The 22,329-nt window shown below is 42.6% G+C and overlaps 1 long non-coding RNA gene across 1 annotated transcript; it reads left to right on the top strand.

Moving 5' to 3' along the window:
• The first annotated feature begins 7,969 nt into the window (after positions 1-7,969).
• On the top strand, positions 7,970-13,761 carry LOC101929116 (uncharacterized). The gene is made up of 3 exons (NR_121584.1): positions 7,970-8,038; positions 11,485-11,642; positions 11,893-13,761. It is a non-coding gene; the product is annotated as an uncharacterized LOC101929116 (long non-coding RNA).
• Positions 13,762-22,329: the final 8,568 nt, after the last annotated feature.

Below are 22,329 nucleotides of genomic sequence, written 5' to 3'. Positions count from 1 at the left end.
TAACTCCTTCTCCAGAGCCTCCTACTCCCGGAGACACCACGCAGTCCCGGAAAGCCCCTGCTCTCTGGCAACCTGGGCAGAACCTTTCTCCTTAGTCTTTGCGAGCTCCCCACATAGCTGCAGGGCAGTGACCCAGAGAGGCCCGAACTTGAGTCCCGCTGGAGGCAACACCTCCCAGGACCTCACCCTATCCTGATCTCTGGCCTCCAAGAGCTGGCAGCACCTCGGGGCACCTGCGCTAGTTTCTTAATGTTGCAGTAACAAATGGCAGCAGGCTGGGTATGATGACTCACACCTGGTAATCCTGGCATTTGGGAGGCCAAGGCGGGTGGATAACCTGAGGTCAGGAGTTCGAGACCAGCCTGGCCAAATGGTGAAACCTGTCTCTACTAAAAGTACAAAAATTAGCTGGGCCTGGTGGCACGTGCCTGTAATCCCAGCTACTCGGGAGGCTGACATGGGAGGATGGCTTGAATCCGGGAGGTGGATGTTGCTGTGAGCCGAGATCGTGCCACTGCACTTCAGCCTGGGCGACAGAGTGAGATTCTGTCTCAAAACAAGCAAGCAAGCAAGCAAACAAACAACCCAAAACAAATGGCGGCAGACTTAGTGGCTGAAACAATACAAATATAGTCCCTCGCAGTTCTGGAGAAGTCTAAAAGGAGCTTTACAGGGCTAAGATTAAGGGGAAGCCAGGGCTGTGTTCCTTCCAGAGGCTCCAGGAAGCCTTCCCAGGCCTTTTCCAGCTTTTAGGGGCTGCTGTATTCCTTGGCTTGGGGCCTCTTCCTCCATCTTCAAAGCCCGTGTTCCAGCCCTCTGACCTCTTCCCCCATTGTCCTGTTGTCTTCTCTGACACTCCTGCCTCCCTTTCCCTCATGACTCCTGTGGTTACATTGGGCCTGCTCAGCTCATTTTAAGATCCTCAGCTGAATCATGTCTGCAAAGCCCCTTGTGCACATGGGTACTGGCATATTCCCAGGTTCTGGGGATTAGGACATGGACGTCTTTGGTGGGGGCCATTATTCCTGCCACAGCCCCCCATTCCTGGCTTGTTTGCCCGGGGTGAGGCCGCCTCTGTGACATTGTGACAGAGCCATGTTTTAGACCCCAGCACAGTCCCAGCCAACTCAGGCTCACCAGCTCGGTTCTAGCTGCTGGGCAGAGGAGAGACCTTTCCCCAGGTGACAGGCACGGGTTCAGAAGCAGACTCCCTTAAGACAGCTCAGTGCGTAAAGCAGCAGAGAGCCAGTGTACGCACAGACACGTGCATGCACACACTCGCACTAGGGGTGGGGTTAACCTGAGTGGGTGATTTCCATCTACCCCTAGATGCTCACTGTGAAAAGCCTTTAGCCCATCTGCATGTCCAAGTGTGTATAAGTGTGAACGTGTGCACATGAGTGTGTATATGCAATTATGAACATGTGTGCACATAAGCAAATGTAAAAGTAAATGTACATGCCTGCACATGAGTGTATGTGAGGGGTGCTTTTCAGAGAATGGCCAGGCTGGGTGTGGTGGCTCATGCCTATAATCCCAGCACTTTGGGAGGCCGAGGCCTGGGGGGATTACTTGAGCCCAGTAGTTTGAGATCAGTAGTTTGGGCAACATAGCAAGACCCCTATCTCTACAAAAAATACAAAATTAGACAGGTGTGGTGGCACACGCCTGTAGTCCCAGCTACTTGGGAGGCTGAGGTGGGAGGATCGCTTGAGCCCAGGAGTTAGAGGCTGCAGTGAGCTATGGTCATGCCACTGCACTCCAGCCTGGGTAACAGAGTGAGACGCTGCCTCTGAAAAAATAAAATAATAAAATAAAAATAAAGAATGGCCAGAAGGCAGCCAGTTTACCATTCTAGGAGACAGACATCATTCATCTCATGAGAGATAGCTCTTTGTTTTGTGAAATAAATTGTTGGCCCCCTTGGGTGTTGTAAGTGGCCTGGCAAGGTCTGCAAGGTGAGGGAGAACAAAGAGAGAGCTGAATTTCTCGCATAATTTCTGGGGTCAGCCTGGGAGGCAGGGGATGGAGGATGCAGAGACAAGACAAAGGGAGATGGGAGGAAAGGCCAGAGGGAATGAAGAGGACCCTAACAGGGAGCAAGGGAGGGATTCCATGCAAAGTCATGGCCAGTACAGAATTCCCTATGGTGCGGTACAGCTGATACATTTCTAGAAATGATGATGCCTGATACTGAGTTTTAATTTGCTTCCGTTGTATACTGTAACTGTCCCAAATTTTTAATAGAAGTCTGCTACACACAACAACCTTTGCTGGTGCCATTTGGGGAAAATAAATGGGGTGGGTATGTGGGTACAATCAGCCAAAGTTGGAAGTCGGGGCCACAGTTAGGGGCTGGGGCTTGTGCTGAGTGTAGCTGCAGTGTGATCTGACTCAGGAGAGTCTTCCTGCAAACCAAGAATAGAAATATTGGAGGAGGTCTTCCACAGCATGAGGATGAGTGCTCTTGAACTATCTTATTTTAATATTAGGCCAGGCACAGTGGCTCATGACTGTAATCTTAGTGCTTTGGGGAGCCATGGTGGGTGAATCACTTGAGCCCAGGAATTTGAGACCAGCCTGGGTAACATAGTGAGAACACGTGTCTACAAAAAGTTAAAATAAAAAATAACTAGCTGGGTGTGGTAGCATGCACCTGTAGTCCCAGCTACTGAGGAGGCTGAGGTGGATGGATGGATTGGGCCGGGGAGGTAGAGCCTGCAGTGAATTGTGATCGCACCACTGCACTCCAACCTGGGTGACAGAGTGAGACCCTGTCTTGAAAAAAAAAAATTAAAGTAATGGCTAATCCTTGGGGGGTCTGAGTTATAAGTGTGCCTGTAAGGATGCTGTGACTGTGTGACTATGTTGAGATCTGTACCAGTCCGGGTCTCTGTGCTGGATATATCTGATGTGAGACCAGTGTCACCCTTACACCATCAACTACTTCTCTCTGGTGTCCTCAGTCCCTCCCTAGGAGAGCTCACCTGCATTAACAGGCTTGTTGCCTAGCCCTGGATATGTGATGGGAGCTCAGAGCTGTGTTTATAACCTCCTGCCTAGTGTCTTGTCCTCCATGCCTCCCAAGCACCTTAAACTCTACCTGTCTCCATCTGAGCCCACTACTTCCTCCTAACAACTTGATTCTTGACTAGGATTCTCATTGAGGGGCCTCACTGTCCACCCACATGCACAAGCAGGAAACTAGGCATCCTCCCTGGATCCCCAGCTTTCTCACTATCCCTTCACCCAACCCACCAGCTAGGCCTGTCAATTTGATCTCCTAATGGCATTTTTTCCATCGTCTTGTCCCCATCTCCACCAACCACAAATGTAGTCCAATAAACCTTTGTTTCCTGCCGGTACTGCTGCAATACTCTCCTAACCAGTTTCCCTGAATCCATTCTTAACCACCTGTAATCAGAGTTCTACCCTGCTACCAGAGTTAAAGGCCATTTAAAAAAGACATCAGTGTATTACATACGTTGGTTAAAAAAATAGATCTCTGCCCACATCCACCCCGAATCCCTAGTTCTCATCCCAGAATTTCAGCTCCTTTACAGCTCCTAGTTACAGTATGTCTGATCACTTGCAATAATATGCTTCAATTTCTGTTTCTTGATTTATTATGTATCTTTCATTAGTCATTGTATTCCTGCTGTGATAGGTGAGGTTTTAGCTTATACCCCTCCACGCCAAAAACACTATTTAAATACTGTTCCTTTGGAGAGCCAAGTAGTGTATTATGATTGTATTTTATTTTTTTAATATCATTCCGCACCCCCAACCCCAACCTGGAATTTCTACCTGCCCTTTTCCCCTTGTGCTATTTACCATTATCACATTTTCATTGGTTTCCAGCCTTCCCATCCAATTCCATATTTTATTATACTCTCCCTTTCCAGAGACTCCATCTCCAATGTGGTCTGGCTCCTCCTTGGCTCTGTGCATTGCTTCTCTTCTGAGATTTCTCTTTGCTGTTTTTCTGGGTTGGCCCATTGTTTCTTGGATACCATGTATCCTTTTCCTTGGTTTACTCCCTCATTTTGCTGGAGCACATTCTCAAATAATTTCCTTTAAAAAGAGTGCACTGGAGGTAAACTTTGTGAGACTATTTCTTTTAATCTCACATTGATCAACAGTTTGGCTGGGCATATAAATTCAGTTGAAAATGATTTCTCTCAGAATTTTGATGATATTGAAAATATTGCATCCAATGCTACTATTGAAAAATGTGATGGCATTTTGGTACTTAATCCTTTATGTATGACATATTTTTCTTTCTTGAAGCTTTTTATATTGCCTATTTTTAGTGTTCTGACATTTCATGGCAGTGTATCTATATGTTGATTACTTTGCATTTATCTTTGTTGAGCATTCAGTGGTTCTGTCTATTCTGTAGACTTGTATTCTTCAGCTGTGAGAAAATTTCTTGTATTATATCTTTGTTAATTCTTCCTCCACGCCCCCTTTTAAAATTAATTTTTCTGGATCTACCATTAGTCAACTATTGAAACCCTTAAATAAATATTTTGTTTCTTATTTTCTTCTTGTGTTTTCTGCCTCCTTTATCTTTATCTTACCTCCTGGGAAAATCCCTTAAATTTATCTTTTAATTCTATTGAATTGTTCACTTCAGCATTTCAATTTTTAATTTCTCAGAGTCCTTTCTTATTGATAGTTCCTTTCTCATAGACAGTATAGTACCGTCTAGTTACAAGTTTTTCATCTTTTTCTGAGCACACTAATTTGATTCTTTTGAAATACTCTTCTACTTTGCATGTTATCTTGATTTCCTCTGGGTTCACGTTTTCTGTTTATACACTTGATTTCTCTATTTTATCTTGGTTATCTGTTTATATTTAAGAGGCAGGCAATGAAAAGCTGACTGGGAGCCTTGCATACATGAGTAGTTGAGCCAAAGACCCCAAATGAGGTAGGGCTAGAATGAGGTAGTCTTTTTTGCTGGGGCTTTCTCCAATGAGGAACCCTCTGACCTCTTGCCTTGTGGCTAGACACTAGAGTTCTGGGTGTTCTGTGTGTAGGAGTAGGGTTAGGAGGTCTAGGAGTAGATAGCATTATCCACCAGCCTTCAGTCAACCCCCTTGTTTTAAGCCCCATGTGCCACTTCCACTTTCCCTTACACATGGCGTCTTTGAGGCCAAGTCTCTCCAAGGTTCTACGATATCAGACCCTTTTGTAATTTGCTTATTTGCATTTTTGTATAATATTTAAATGTGTGAATATACCACAATTTATCTATTTTGATAAATTTATTCATTCTATTATTTATGGGCATTTAGGTAGTTTTGAGTTTTTGACTATTATAGATAGTACAACTATGGACACTTTAGTACATGTCCATGATAAATATTTAGTGTGGTGTATACCAAGGAGTGGAATTGCTGGGCCACAGGTGTGCATATATTCAGCTTTAGCAGTTAATGAATTTGCCAAAGTACCCACCTACAGTGCATGGGAGTTCTTGTTCTGCATGTCCTCTTTAATATTTGATATTTTATCTTTTTAACTATCATGGTGGGTAGCAGTGGTATCTTGTAATTTTAGTTGGTTTGCATTTCTCTTATGACTAATGAAGTCAAGCACCTTATCATATGTGTATTGGCCTTTTGAATATCTTCTTTGGTGAGGTGCCTGTTAAAGTTTTTTCCCCCATTAAAAAAATGTGGTTTGTCTTTTTGTTATTGAGTTGTAGCAAATTTTATATATCTTATGAATCTAAGTTCTTCATTAAATGAGTTGTAAACATCTTCTCCCACTGTTTCCATTAGCTTTTCACTCTCTTGCTGGTATATTTTAGGAATAGAATTTTTAAATTTTAATATGTTCAATTTATAATTTTTTTCTTACATAGCCTTTTTGTGACTTGTTTAGGACATGTTTGCTTACTCCAAGGTCATAGAGCTGTTCTCCTATGTTTTCCTCTAAAAGCTTTATTGTTGGCTGGGCCAGGCACGGTGGCTCATGCCTGTAATCCCAGCACTTTGGGAGACTGAGGTACGTGGATAACTTGAGGTCAGGAGTTTGAAACCAGCCTCATCAACATGGTGAAACCCCATCTCTATTAAAAATATAAAAAATTAGCTGGATATGGTGGTACGCGCCTGCAATCCCAGTTACTCGGGAGTCTGAGGCAGGAGAATTGCTTGAATCCAGGAGGCAGAGGTTGTAGTGAGCTGAGATTGTGCTGCTGCATTCCAGCCTGGGCAAAAGAGCGAGACTCCATCTCAAAAAAAAAAAAAAGCTTTATTGTTTTACCATTCACATTTAGTTCTGCAAAATTCTGGAATAGATTTTTGTGTATGATGTGAGATAGGGGTCAAGACACACTTATTTTGTTATGGATCTCCAACGGACCCAGCACCATTTACTGAAAAGATCACTCCTTTCCCATTGGACGATGGTGCTGTCTTTGTCCTACATACAGGAATCATGTATGTGTAGGTCTGTTTCCAGACTTTCTCCTCTGTTTCATTGGTCAGTTTGTCCACCCTTGCACCAATACCACACTGCCTTCATTACCATAGCTTTATTAAAAGTCTTGGCATACAGTTTTGTTTTTCTTCTTCAAGTTTGCCTTGGATTTTTCTTAGACTCGTGTATTAGCTGTGCTCTCCGCCCTAACCCCAGGGCCTTTGCACATCCTCCCTCTGCTGAAACACCTTTCCTTTCTCTTATCACCTGTTAGCTCTTATTCATTCTTCAGATCACACCTCAGTTGTTATTTCCTCAGAGAAGCTTTCCCTGAACTCCCCGACCCAGTCAAACGCCCCACGAAGCCATCATAACACAACCCACCTCTCTCTGTAACATTAAATGCAATTCAACTTTTCATGTATTCTTGTGGTTATTTGATCAATGGGTTTTCCTTCTCTAATCTGTTGAGCTCCACAAGGAAGGGAATCACTGTTTTATTTACTGATATATTTTCAAGGCTTAGCACAACGAGACAGTCTAAGTTTTTGAATACACGAAGGCAAGAGTCCCTTATTCATGGACATCTGTGTATGTGTGTGTGTCTGCATGTGCCCTTGAGTGTATGTGTATGAGCAAAACTTTATCAGTGCATGTGTGTGTGTGCAATAACAGAACCCACTTCGGAGCCACAGATCAGGGGAGCTGGACCCCTCCTCTCCTTTTGGGTTCTCCTCCTCCCCTTCCCCTCCCCACCCTTCCCTGTCCAGCACTCCCAGCAGCCTCCTCTCCTTCCTGAGTGACTGGAGGAAGATGCTGGTCTCCAGCTGCCTCCGCTCGGCTGCCCTTGTGCAGTTGTCTGCCAGTTGTGCACGCCGATTACTATGAATGCCACCATCTGGTACGCCACGTGGACATCATAATCTTTTCTTAATTACATTAGCAGCGCAATCAGTTACTGCATTACAAGGCCGGCGATGAGCTTTTAAATCTTGGTGGAAATCATAAATAATTGCACTAAGTACCAGGCCCCAGATGTGTGCGCCAACTTCGGTTGCACTAGATAAATAGTAACCTTACAAGGGTGTGAGACAGCAGGCGGTCCGGCCGGCCACCGGGCCACACTACACCTGGGCCTCACTGCAGGAAGGCCCTGGCAGCCATGCACCTGAAGAGAGGCAGTGGAAGGAGGCGGAGGTGCCTTCTGAGTGCATGGGTGCCAGGGAGAGAGAGAGAGGGATCCTCAGAGCCAGAGCCAGGGAGGGCGTGGGAGGAACATGGAGACAGACAAAGGGGAAATGAGGTGGGTGGACAGAAAAGAAGAGAGAGAATGGGAGAAGAGAAGGCAGGTGGGGAGAAGGAGGAGAGGAGAAAACAGAGCCAGGGAGAGAGACACTGAAACAGAGATAGAGAGAGACACACAGAGAGTGACAGGAACAGAGAAAAAGAGAGTGCAATGAAAAGATCCAGGATGCCTGGGGAGGCTGGGAGAACAAAGAGAAGGCCTTGTTTCAGCTGACCTCTCGCTCTTGGCCAGCAGTTGGAAGGGATCCCAGGGACGGGCTCAGCTACTCAGGGCAGCAGCCAGGCATCGGTGCAGAGGGTGAGTGAAACTAGGCCCAGGCCCGAGGGGCTTCCCGCAGGGCGCTCTGGGCTCCGGGAAGGAAGCCCTCCTGGCTTCTCTATCTCTTTCTGAAAACCGCCTGAGTCTGAGAGGGAAAGAATGGGCCACAGAAGATTCAGGAGCAGCAGCGCTGGTGTGTGATAAGTTAGTCACTAGAACTGCTTTAGGTAGGCAGGAGGCCCGGGATTGGGGGAGCCTCTCTGAGGGGCGATTTTTAAGCTGACACATGTCTGGTAAGTCACTGTGAGCCAGGTGACAAGCAGGTGAAAGGAGGGGAGCATGTTCCAGGAGGGGAGGCAGCACACACAAAGGCACAGAGGCAGGACGACGCTGGCATGCTTGAGAACTGGAGAGGAAGCTGATGCTGCTCACACAAAGAAAACCATGGAGAAATGTCAGGAATGTGAGATAAGATGGCTGGTTGAAGATGTGTTTTTCCTATTCACTCCTGAAACCTCACCAAAATGGACTTTAGTGGAATTTTAAAATGTATAAACCCACAGAATAAAGAGAAGAGGAGAGGAGACAAAAGCAGACAGGAGATTTTAACAAGATTTGGAAGCCGGAGGGCAGATGGATGAGGGTAAGGGACTTGCAAAGCAGAGAAAGCCGACATCTCAGCCTGCAGGAAGGGGAGCCTGCCAGGAGCAAAGCAACCAGCCCCTGGGACCTGGGAACCTGGGAAAGGCTCAAACATGGGAGCCTGGCACTTCTTTATCTGAAACAGACTCTCACTCTGTCACCCAGGCTGGAGTGCAGTGGCATGATCATGGCTCACTGCAGCCTCAACCTTCTGGGCTCAGGCAAATCCTTCTGCCTCAGCCTCTTGAGTAGCTAGGACCACAGGTCAGAGAGAGGGAGCGACAGGAGCGGACAGGTTGAAGCCTCATTTAGCCAGGCGACCAACTATACCTCCCAGCACAGCAGAAGAAGTCGACTCTTTGAGAAGCTGACTGGAGGCGACTCAGGATTTGGGGCATTCGCAAAGGAAAGAGTGAGACCCAGACTAAAACTGGGAGGAAAACAAATTAAAGAATTAAAGGGTGGGATTCCCACCTTGTCTTCCCACGCTGTTTACGGGATGTGGGCAGTTGGGCTTCAAGCTGTTCCCATGTCTCCCTCCCTCTCCAGGTCAGGAGACTAGAGAATTCTTTTCTGGGGAAACCACTTGGCATGGGGACAAGGTCTACAGGGACCACGATTTGAGATTTGAAACCCTCTAATGAAATCTCCAGTCTCGGCCTGGTCACCCTTGGGCCCCACCCAGGTGCATAGAGCTTGCTTTTTTTTGTTTGTTTTTGTTTTTTGTTTTTTTGAAACGAAGTCTCTCTCTACTGCCGAGGCTGGAGTGCAGTGGTGTGATCTTGGCCTGGGTTCAAGTGATTCTTCTGCCTCAGCCTCCCCCGTAGCTGGGACTACAGGCAAGGGCCACCATGCCCAGGTAATTTTTATATTTTTAGTTTTTACTAGAGACAGGGTTTTGCCATGTTGGCCAGGCTGGTCTTGAACTCCTGACCTCAGGTGATCCACCCGCCTTGGCCTCCCAAAGTGTTGAGATTACAGGCGTGAGCCACTGCGCCCAGCCCCGGTCAGCTTCTTACACCACACTTTTAAACATGAATGACAGGCAGTCAAGAGTCACCAGATATTTGTGGAAAACTCTATAATGAAAGCCAGAGACCAAAGATTCAGGAAAATAGAAAAAGGCAACTAGGAGGAAAAAGAGACAATACATTTAAATAAACACCCATAAATAACATCCCCTGAAAGATACGAGAAGGCACTGCAGTCATAAAATAAGATTTAAATGTTACGTATATATTTCTTAAGGGAATGTTGAGATAACACAAAAGGGTTGGAAGATAAAGTTCAGATAACTCAGAAATTAGAATAAAAACAGATTTTTTTTCCTTTTTTTTTTTTTTTTTGAGACAGGGTCTTGCTCTGTTACCCAGGCTGGAGTGTAGTGGTGCAATCATGGCTCACTGTAGCCTGGACCTCCTGGGCTCCAGTGAGCCTCCCACTTCAGCCTCTCAAGTACCTGGGGTCACAGGCATGTGCCACCATGCCTGGCTAATTTTTCTGTATTTTTTATAGAGACAGGGTCTCACCATGTTGCCCAGCTAAGAAAATTTGTTGTTAAGTAGGGTATGAAGTATGAGAAAATTAAAGAATCAATCCAGGAGGTCCAACAGCCAACTATCAGAGACCAAGAAAGAGAGAAGAAATAAATCAATTCAGGAGTTCTAGCATGATGCTAATAAGTGTTCTAGAAAAAGAGAAGGGAAAGCAAAAAGGAGAACATTATCAAAAAAAATACAAGAAAATTTCCCAGAATTGAAGGACTTGAATTTCAGGATTGAAAGGTAACATTCCAGGCCAGACACAGTGGCTCCTGCCTATAATCCTAACACTGGGATGCTGGGGCGAGAGGATCGCTTGAGCCCGGGAGTTTAGGACCAGCCTGGGCAACATAGGGAGACCTCATCTCTACAAATAATTTAAAAAGTAGCTGGGCATGGTGGCATGTGCCAGTGGTCCCAGCTACTCGGGAGGCTGCGGCAGAAGGATTTGCCTAAGCCCGGGAGGCTGAGGCTGCATTGAGCCGTGATCATGCCACTGCACTCCAGCCTGGGTGACAGAGTGAGATTCTGTCTCAAAGGAAAAAAGAAAGGCAGGAAGGCAGGCAGGAAGGCAGGCAGGCAGGCAGGCAGGAAGGCAGGAAGGAAGGATGGAAGGAAGGAAACACTCTAGCCCAATGAAAAAAGACTCACACTTAGGCATATTGTTGTGAAATTTCAGAACACCAAGTATAAAGAGAAGATCCTGGAAATTTCCTGAAAGGAAAAAGTTACATACACAGAATTGGGAACCAGAACAGTGTACCTTCCCAATAACAACCCTGGAAGCTACATGACACAAAGACTTAAAAATTATAAGACAAAACTATTTCCAACCAAGAATACTGAAGCTCATGTAGCTATAATTTAACTGTCCCTAAGAGTAGAATAAACACATTTTCAGATACGCAAGATAAAAAGTAAAGTTAGTTCTTATGTGTTCCTTCTCAAGATGCTACTGGAAGACATACGCCTACAGCTAAATGAGGGAGAAAATCAAGAAAGAGAAAAGCATGGGATCCAGGAAATGAGATCCCACAGAAAGGCAAAGGCAAAAACTGGGGTGAAAACTAGCAAATGATAAAAACGAAGCAATTATTAACTCTGGAAAAAAACAAAAATCATACAAGAAAAGCATATATTAATAGTACACTACATGGCTCAGCTATGGTCAATATTTATATAGTTCTTATATAAATATTGAGTACTCAACAAAAATTGTGATGTAACTATGTTGGAAGGATGGGAAGAGGGGGATATGTGTGGTGTGGTGTAAGATAACTAAATACTCTTCTTTTTTACTAGAAAGCCAACAGATTTTTCTTTAAAAATGTGAAACTAGCAGTATAAACCAGTGTTTTGAAGTACAAAGGTAAATAGCAGAAGATATCAGTGAACGCATGTAAAGTGGCTGTCTTGTGGGAGAGGAAACTGAAGACATAGTGGAGACTATTGTTTTTGTTGTAAGTTCATGCTGCTATTTGACTCTAAACCATATACATGTACTTTGATAAACATTTTAAAATTCAATTAAAAAAAGAAATTAGGAGGTGGAGACTAGCAAGGTGAACAGGTGCCAGATGTGGCAGAACCTCATGGGCCATTTTAAACAGTTGCAACTTTCCCTAAGAGCAATGTGGTGCCATAGAGGGGTTCTCAGTAGGGGAGTTACAATGTCAGATTTATTTTTCTAAAACAAAATTTTGTTTCCAGTTGCAACGTTTGGGGCTGACTTTCCAGAATTACCCAAGATTGACCTGTGGGAGATATCTGGGCCCCCTGTGCCTTGCAAAGCTTCACATGGGTGATGATGTTGAAGACCAGGTGCGGATCAATGGGGGCTCCATGGCAAATGAGAAACAGAGGAAGAAGAACTAACCTTCCTACCCACCAGTGCTCACTGGCACTCAACATAGCCTTGCTCTTGTTTCTGGAGGAAGGGCCATTGGGATCAACTTAAGAACATGGCAGAACAGAGATGCTTGCTGAATTAGTTGGTTGGAAGCACAAAATTATTTTAGTAGTTGTTGCAAATTGCTTCACTTCTCTGGGTTTAAGTGTAGAACTCAATGGTAATGTGAATAGACTTGATCTCCATAGGATCATTGTGGGGACTCAATGAGATAGATTCTGTAGAGCTTTGGGCTTGATTGGTGCACAGTGTTCAATGAGTGTGCTGGGAGAAACTCTTCTCCTCACTTCTGGTGTTTCCTTCCAGGAGGAGAGAGGTCCCTCTGGGTAGCACCCCTGGCCTCTCTGTCTGCTCCCTGGGTTCTGCCTTTGGAAGTGGGAGGTGATGTGCTTGGTAGGGAAGCTTGAGGGCAGGAGCTGGGTCTGGGTAGCTCAGCTGCTTCCTCTTCCATTCTCAGGAGCCAGCTGTCTATGGGAAGCACCCATTCTGGTCAGCCCCCATAAGCCATAAATGTATAGGGGCAGGCTGGATCCTTCGGGGAAGGCGGCCCCAGTTAGGGTGGCTAAGTCTGCACATTCAGGATAGTGTTCCTAGCTGACACATTGGGCCTAGTGCCTAGTGAACAAGCAGTGGAACGTGGGGAGCAAATTAATACTCAAGGACTGAGGCTTTTGAGGGGACCAGGCCATCAGATTTTTATTTTATTTTATTTTATATTTTTACAGGCAAGCTGCTATTTTTATACAGGCATAGGCCTTAGCAAAAGTGGGTTGAGTTGGTTCCTGAGGCCTTAGGCTAAGAGCGGCTGCAGCTCACCCTGGGCAAAACCGTGCCTGCCTCAGCATGGGCCACCAGGTTCTCTGAAGATGCCATTAGGCCTTAGGGCCCCTGTGGACAGGCATTGTAGATATGCTTTGATTATAGGGAAAAGAAAGTTTACCCATATATAGACTCTTTTAGTGTCTGACTGCTGTTGTAACAAATTGCCACACTTAGTGGCTTAAGACAACACAACCTTCTTATCTTGCTGTTCTGGAGGTCAGAAGTCCAAAAGGGTTTCACTGGGTCAAAATCAAGGTGCATAGTCACGCTCCCTCCAGAGGCTCTAGGAGAGAATCAATTTCCATGCCTTTTCCAGCATCTAGAAGCCCTCTGTCTTCCTTTGCTGATGATCCTTTCCTCCTCCTTCAAAGCCAACAGTGTAGCATCTTCTCATCCCTCTCTGTTCTGTTGTTATATCAACTTGACTTCACTCTGAGCCTCCTGCCTCCTCTTAGAAGGACCCTGGTGATTACATTTAGGACCCACTGGGGTCATCTAGCATAATCTTTCCATCTCAAGATCTTTAATATCATCACATCTTCAATATCCCTTTACCATAGCCACAGGCTCCAGAGACTCAGCCATAAACATCTTTGGACAGAAACATCATTATTCAACCTACCACATAGACCTTTTTCTTTAATTTTTAATTTTTATGAGTACATAGTAGGTATATATATTTATGGGGTACATGAGGTACTTTAATACAGGCATATAATGCTTAATAATCCCATTAGGGTAAATGGGGTAGCCATCATCTCAAGAATTTGTCCTTACTTTAGTGTTACAAACAATCCAATTATACTCCTTTAATTATTTTAAGATGTATAATAAATTTGGATTGACTGTCATCATCCTGTTGTCTATATTTTTGTAAATATTAACTATCCCTCCTCTCCCCTACACTACCCTTCCCAGCCTCTGGTAACCCTCCTTCTACTCTCTATCTCCGTGAGTTCAATTGTTTGAATTTTTAGCTCCCACAAATAAGTGAGAACATGTGAAGTTTGTCTTTCTGTGCCTGGTTTATTCCTTTTTTTTTTTTGAAATGGAGTCTCACTCTTGTCGCCCAGGCTGGAGTGCAATGGCCACGATCTCAGCTCACTGCAAGCTCCGCTGCCCTGGTTCACGCCATTCTCCTGCCTCAGCCTCCCGAGTAGGGGCCTGGCTTATTTCACTTAACACTTCATTACGTCCTCTAGTTCCATCCATGTTGTTACAAATGACAGGATCTCATTCTTTTTCATGGCTGAATAGTACTCCGTTTCATATATGTACCATACGTTCTTTGTCCAGGTGTCTGTTGATGGACACTTAGATTGCTTCTAAATCTTGACTATTGTGAATAGTGGTGCAATAAACATGAGAGTGCAGATATCTCTTTGATATCCTGCCACACAGACTTTTGATACATTAAGAGGAGGAATGATTACCTATCGCTTTTATGATCTTTCAGTACAATTTATACTGCACCCACGTTCCATGCCCTACAATACCTAGTGTGAGCCTGCACCATTGTATTGCTAGTGTGAAGCTGAGGTAGACAGCGGAGGGAGGCTGCCAAAAACCCCATGTCTTTCTATGTTGCCTTGTGGTACAGGGCTAAGGAGAGCTGGGAATTAATGTGGCTTCCCCACAGGCTCTTAGGGTTCACACACCCCACCATATGGTCTACAGTTGCCTCTGGAATAATCATGGCCTTGGATTTAGAGACTCAACTCCAGGCTTCACTGTCAAGATAGCATATTTTATGAATGTAAAGAAGGAACAGAGAACCTGTTATAAAGAGATGTGTTGTCATCTCAGGTTCACAGAGGGACAACTCAGTAACGTCGCAAACCCCAAAAATTACAAAAAGAGCTAAGGAAGCTCGTACTTGAAGGACTCTGTCTCTGAGAATTAAGTTGTCCAGGAAATCAGGGTGTCTGGAGCAAAGTATGCCTCAGATGATCAAAACAGACGCAGTAGGAGAAAGGAAACAGATTAAAAACAGCTCCACTAAGGTGGAGGAAGAGACAGATTTTCTGAAGAGAAACATTGAGATCTTGGGAACAGACTGGATGGATATGAAATGGCAAATGTGATCTTGAAGGCAGAATAGACTTACAGGAAAAGGAAATAAATGTAGGCACAGCATTTCAGAAGGGGCCATGTCTCAGTTGTTACTAGACCAGAAACGGTAATTGAGGCCACAGAAATTCACTAAGGAAGAGAAGCAAGGTCTGAGAGAGGAGACTAGAATGATTCTCCCCAAGGGAACCATATCCAGGAAACCTCTTACAGACACACACACACACACACACACACACACACACACACACACACACAGAGAGAGAGAGAGAGAGAGAGAAAGAGGAAAGAGAGAACGGGAGAAGAAAGAGAGAAAAAGAGAAGAAAGAGAGAGAAAGGGAGAGAAAGAGCGAGTGAGCACATACCATTGGAGCAAATGACGACCCTCCCCTTAGATACTGGGGCATCTAATCCAAGGAGTTACAGAAAATCCAGACAAATTTAAGAAGAGGAGGAAGATCAGTATAAAATACTAGAAGCATCACTAACTAGGTGAGTTTCAAGGTGCTAGAACCACTGTAGCTGGAGATCAAGGTATTACTTGGTCCCTGAGAAATGGCCTATTAACGTAAGGAATTAGGACCCTCTGAAGCAGTGGTTCATTGCCCTGGCTGCACGTAAGATTCACCTGGGGAATATTTTCAACCTAGTAATGCTTGACCACCACCCCAGGTCAAATTAATCAGCATCCGATGCTCTCAGGCAGGGGTGCTTGAGTAGGCATCAGAATCATCTGGGGGGCTTGGTAAAACACTAATTGCTGGGTCCTGCCCACAGAGTTTCTGCTTCAGTAGGTCTGGGGTGCAGCTTGAGAATTTTGAATTTCTAACTAATTCCCAGACGATGCTGAGGTTACTGCCTAGGGACCCACTTTGAGGACCACTTTTTCTAAGGAAAGGCACTGCAAAGATAAAACTGAATAAAGGGGGGTCAGGTAGGACAATGGCAGATGGAGGCAGGCCTCAGTTCAATGCTGGATGATGGAGAAGATCTCCTGGGAAGGTGATCTGATTTAGGAAGTAAAGATGGGGAAAGATATATTTGCTCAATGGATGCTTTCAGCATAGCCAGAACGTTCTGATTTTGTTATCTCTCACTCTGGGAGATACCACAAGACAAAAACAGTGCCTTCCTGGTAGAAGGGGAACCCTGAGGGAGGATGAAACTTCAGGGACATGCCCCATGATTGCAGAATAAGACAAAGTGAGAAGAATCCTCAAGGCCTGGAACTGAATTTTCCAAGGCAAAGAAAGCCTGCTCTGAGAAGCACATGGCAGAGATCTTGGTCCTCTCTAGGACCCCAGGGGAGAGGCTACCAAAGCCGCACACACTGCGTCAGTTCAAGCACCTGCTGAGAGTAAATTTGCAGCAAAAGCAAGTGTGGAGATGAGGGAGACAGCATCTGTAGAACAGTGGTTCTCAGATTTTGCTGCATATTAGAATTACCTGGGAGCTTTTCACCTGCTCTATGTGTAGGCTGCAACCCATACCAAATCAGAATTTCTTGGGTGGGGGTTGGGGGGGGTGGAGGTTGTTACCCAGACATTCATATTTTATAAAACTCCTCAAGAGATTCCGAAGTACAGCCAAGTTTAAGGACAGGTCCTTGCTCCTCAAAGGTTGGCCCACAAACATCACTCTCGTTACCTTGTTAGAAATGCAGAATCTGCCGGGCACGGTGGCTCACGCCTGTAATCCCAGCACTTTAGGAGGCCGAAGTGGGTGGATTGCCCTAGGTCAGGAGTTCAAGACCAGCCTGGCCAACATGGTGAAACCCTGTCTCTACTAAAAATACAAAAATTAGCTGGGCGCGATGGCAAGCGCCTGTAATCCCAGCTACTTGGGAGGCTGAGTCATGAGAATCATTGAACCCAGGAGGCAGAGGTTGCAGTAAGCCGAGATCACGTTATTGCACTCCAGCCTGGCCGACAGAGTAAGACTCTGTCTTAAAAAAGACGCGGAATCTTAGGTCTTACACCAGCCCACTGAATTAGAATCTGCTTTTTATCAACATCCCTCGGGATCTGTGTGCACATGGACACGCGAGAAGCACTGCTCTAGAAGGAAGGCTTCTTAGCCTTAAGCAGTTTCAGAGCAGGAGGCATCGGCAACAGGACTGGGGTAGGGTTTTGAGAACACCAGCTCCAAGTCATGATGGAGGCTGTGTCATTAGATAGAGCCCACGTCCAGTTCATCACTGAAGTTCCAGAAACGGCAGCTTCTATGGGACAGCACTGGAGGGAAGGAAGGTTACTGCAGATAAATCCTGCCAATGGTTAGCAGTGGAAAGAGGGATAGTGACACAGAAGACTTGAGTTTTTGTTTTCAGTGTTTCTGTACCATTTGTATTTCCTAGCCCTGTGTGTGTGCATGCATGTGCACACACAATAGGGGTTAGCAAAGATTATGTTGATGGTGAGATTATGGGATATTCTTTAACATTTTCTTTATTAAAAAAATCTAACAAATGGTAATTTTTAAAAAGCAATATACAAGCAAAAGCTATGAGAAATAACAAGATGAATTTGGCAAAGTCACAATCTTAATAGGGTACCTTAATATTATTGCATTGCTTAGTCTTTGTCAAATCAAGTAGGCAAAAAGAAATAAAAATATGAGAGATATGAATAATTTCATTAATAAGGTTATTTACTAGATACATTTCAAAATCGGCAATCTACAAATATAGAATATATAATCTTAACACGTTCCAGTTAGCATTTTAAAAAAAAGTAATCATTTTTCTAACCCACAAAGGAAATGTTAATAACTTTCAAAAGATAGGAAGTTTAAGCCACAAGAGAGCAGAGAACATATCTGTCTCATCACAACTCGGTCCTCAGAGTCCAGTACAGTGGCTATACAATTGAGTAGGTTCTCAATTAGCATTTATTGCTGGGAGAAGGCTGTATTTTCTTGCATGCAATAAAACAAAAAATTCATAACAGAAGTGTAAGCAAATAAAAAGCTTAAAGCATTTGGAAAATAAAATAAATTCTTTCAAAATAGCCTTTAAAATCAATGAGATATCAATTGCAACTCGATATGATTTTTCATGGAATTTTACAAGCTGGTTCTAAAATTAATATGGAAGAACAAATGTACATGAATTGACCAGAGGAATATTTAAAAGAATCTATTTTTGTTCTATAAGAGTCATAATTTTATAAAATAATAGGAATTAAAAGGGTGTGATATTGGTGCTGGAGAAGGCAATTAAATGAACAGAACTGAGTAGAGTTCAGATATACCGTGTTCACTGATTTATGAATTTAAATAAGATACAATGCCAAATGCTTGAGTAAACTATGTAGTGTTCAATAAATGATATTGGAAAAATTGTATACTATTTGGAAAAAATAAAATTAGATCCTACCTCACACTATCCATAAGAAAAAGTTCAATAAATTAAAATCCTAAGAGCAAAATGTAAAACAATTGTATTAGAAGAAATGTAGGAGATGTAGGAGACTTTAATATCAACTTGGGGCACAGGCAGCTTCTTAGATAAGGCACAGAAACCAAAAGCCATAAACGCAAAGTTTAATAAATTTGACTACACTATAAGTCATAATTCTGCATGATAAATGACACTACAAAAGATTTTGAAAAATGACAAGTGTGCCAAAAATATTGACAACCTATTTAAGAGACAAAGGACTAGGATCAAGATGAAAGGACTCTTACAAATCAGTGAGAAAAAAAATCCAGCAATCTAATAGAAAATGGACAAAGGATGTGGATAGGCAATCCACAGAAAAGGAAATTAATAATGGTCACTAATCCTATTTTAAAAGATGCTTCATTTTACTAATAATCAGGGAACTTGCTGCAAAGTAAAATAAAGAGATACTATTCTTCACTCATTACCTTAGCAATTTTTTTAAGTTTGAATATAATAAGTGTTGGCAAGATGGGGGTAATACATTCATACATTATAAGAGCAATATAAAGTTTGTATAAAATGTACTCAAAATGGCATTCCCACTTTCAAGGGCATTTGGGCAGGACTGAGATGAAAAACTGTACACTGTGTAACACAATTCCATGTCTTTGCTACCTTAGAGCAAGAAACATTGTCAAACATTCCTAAGGCAGCTTGTACATGCTGTCTGCTGCAGCATTCTCTATAATAGCAAAACTTGGAAATAATCTAAGTGTCCATCAAACAGAATGTGATTCAATAAACTATTTTAAATCCGTACTATGCAATACACTGTAATCATTAAAATGAATCAGATTGATATATAGATATTGACAAGAAAAGATGCTTATTACCGATGGAAAAAAGAAAGATGCAGGAAAGTATATACAGTAGAATGTATGTTTAAAAAAATTTCCTTCTCTAAGCTCATCTATATGAATGCCTAGAAAATCTTGCCATGCCATTCAATATAGCAAATAGCAAACTGAGATGACGTGGTACCCCTTTTTCTGTCACCTAGAATCCTCCTAGAAATCCTGGATCAAATATTCCATAATGCTTTCAAAGTACGGGTTCTATTTATTCCCTTACACATAAACACACACACACACACACACACACACACACACACACACACACACACACATAAAAACACCCAGATGATAGAAACAAGGAGGGAAGTTTTCAAAAGTCAGAGCTGTAGGAGTACAAACTAAAGTTCAGTAGCTGTTGGGTGAGAAGACTAGATATTACACAGGGCATTAATTTGGATAAGTTTTAAAACAGTGTGGAATTAAATTTCTAGACAAGGATAACATGGACAATGTGGAAGGGAGTGGTTATCAGATCCCTGAATGGGTTGGGACAAGGGCATGAATACTGATTAACTCAGACTTTGGTCATTCAAGCATGCATTATAAAAATTTAAGCATACCATCTGAAAGCAGAGAAATATAAGAGATGTTAAATAAAGCTTTCCAAATAATTAGGAGAAGAAAGGAGGAGAGGAAATAAAGAAATTTGACTGATCAAATAGAAAGCAGGAAATGAGGGGGTGAGGTAGGGGTGGGGGAGAGGAAGTAAAGAAAAAGGATGGCAAACAGAAAGCTCTCAAAATAAGATCAAGGAAATGTATGTTAGTACTCAAAATAAGTGTAAATGGAATAACTTTGCCAGTTAAAAGACAAAGATACTCAGATTGGGGGTGGGGAAGTGAACAGGTGTATAGTGAAGGATGATGTGTCAGAAAGATTGGATTTCTTTTTTTCCTATTTTAAAGACAGGGTCTTGCTCTGTTGTCCAGGCTGGAGTGCAATGGCATGAGCATTGCTCACTGCAGCCTTGAACTCCTGGGCTCAAGTGATTCTCCCACCTCTGCCTCCCAAGTAGCCAGGACTACAGTCACACACTACCACACCCAGCTAATTTTTTTTTAAACTTTTTGTAGAGACCGGGGTCTTGCTATGTTGCCCAGGCTGATCTCTAAGTCCTGGCCTCAAGTGATTCTCCCACCTCAGCCTTGCAAAGTGCTGATATTACAGGTGTGAGCCTCCATGCCCAGTGATGATTGGATATTTTTTTAAAAACTAGAAAGTGTTATGTTAGAGAAATTTAATCCAAAAACAAATTTAAAAGCTATATTAAGATCTGGCAAAATAGATTTTGAGATAAAAAAATAGAAACAAGGAGTAATGTTACAAAATGATAAGAAACAACCAGAAACATGTAAGAATCCTAAACTTGTATGCATCTAACAACAAATTCAAAATATATAAAGCAAAATATTTCTGGAATTACAAGAAAAAGACAAATCCACAATCGTGGAGATATTTAATGTGCTCTCTCTTATTAATATGTCAAAGAGATGAAAAGTAAAACTAGTAAGGATGAGAAGATTTGAACAACACAGTTAACAAGGTTGAAAGAATAAAGTTGTTTAAAACCTTATATTCAAAATTTTGAGAATAATCAGTCTTTGCAAGTATCTATGGAATAGTTATAAAAGTCAACCTAGTACTAGACCAGACTAGTTTTTGAAAATTGCAATGTCATGCAGATCATATAGTCTGATAACAGTGTAATAAAATTAGAAATCAATTATAAGTAGATTGCCAAAATGCCCCATTAATTTAGGAAATGAAACAAAAATAAAAGTACCATGTTTTTAAAAAAAATATGAGTAGCAATACTGAAAGAAGAAAGTACTTTAAACAGATGGAAGAACAATGAGTTAAGCATCCAATTCCAGAAAAATAGAGACCAAGTAAACTCCAAGGACAATGATAAAAATGAGAACAAAGAAAATCATAGAAATCAATTAAATATGAAACAAATTAACGGTAGAGAAGAGAAACAAGACCCTAAATTGATTCTTTGCAAAGATTAATAAAATATATAAACTTCTAGCATGATTTATCAAGAAAAAAAGCACAAATAAACAATATTAAAAATAAAAAAGGGGAACAAAACTTCAGATATAATAAGTCAAAGGAGGGTGCTATGAAGAATTTTATAACAATAAATTAAAAGCTTGAACAATGTTCTAAGATAAATGGAATTTATAAAACTGACCCAAGAAGAAGGGGTTGCCTGAATAGATCTACAACCGTTAATAAAATTGTATCAGTATTTTAAACTATGACCACAAAAACAAGACAAAATAAAATTACTAGGTACAGATGATTTTATAAGTGAGATATATCAAAGCTTCAAGGACTAGAAAATCTTTATTCTGTACAATATGTTCTAGTGAATAGAGAGAGAAGAAAAGCGCCTTAGCACATTTTATGAAGCTGATGCAACCTTAATACCAAAACAGACAAGGAGACTACTAGGACTGCCCGGTATAACACAGTTACTTATGACCACAGAGGCAAAGATCCTTAATAAAATATTAGTGAAACAAATCGAGTAATACATGAAAAATGGAAGAAAACATTATAACCAAGTAGAGATTATTTGAGGAATGAAAGTTTAATCTTAAAAAGTACGTACGTAGTTAGCCCAGTAATATATGAAAAAAAAAAAAAAACCATGTTATCAGCTCAACAATTGTGGGAGAGAGCATGTGACGAAACTGAATGCTCGTTTATGAAATGTTATCTGGGGAAGAGAGAGGAACATGCCTGGTTTCATAAGGGGTATTGTATTAGTCTGTTCTCACACTGCTATAAAGAACTGCCTGAGAGATTAGGTAATTTATAAAGAAAAGAGGTTTAATTGACTCACAGTTCCCCATGATTGTGGTGGTGGGGCGGCGGGGGTGCCTCAGGAAACTTACAATCACGGCAGAAGGCATCTCTTCACAGGATGGCAGGAGACAGAAATAGGTGCGGAACAACGGAGGAAGCCCCTTATAAAACCATCAGATCTCGCCAGAACGCACTCACCCTCACGAGAACAGTATGGGGGAAACTGCCCC

Source organism: Homo sapiens, chromosome 9, assembly GCF_000001405.40.
Source record: "Homo sapiens chromosome 9, GRCh38.p14 Primary Assembly".
NCBI classification, from domain to species: Eukaryota; Metazoa; Chordata; class Mammalia; order Primates; family Hominidae; genus Homo; species Homo sapiens.
The sequence above is the reverse complement of the archived record's forward strand: the minus strand, read 5'-3'. Positions and strand labels throughout refer to the sequence as shown.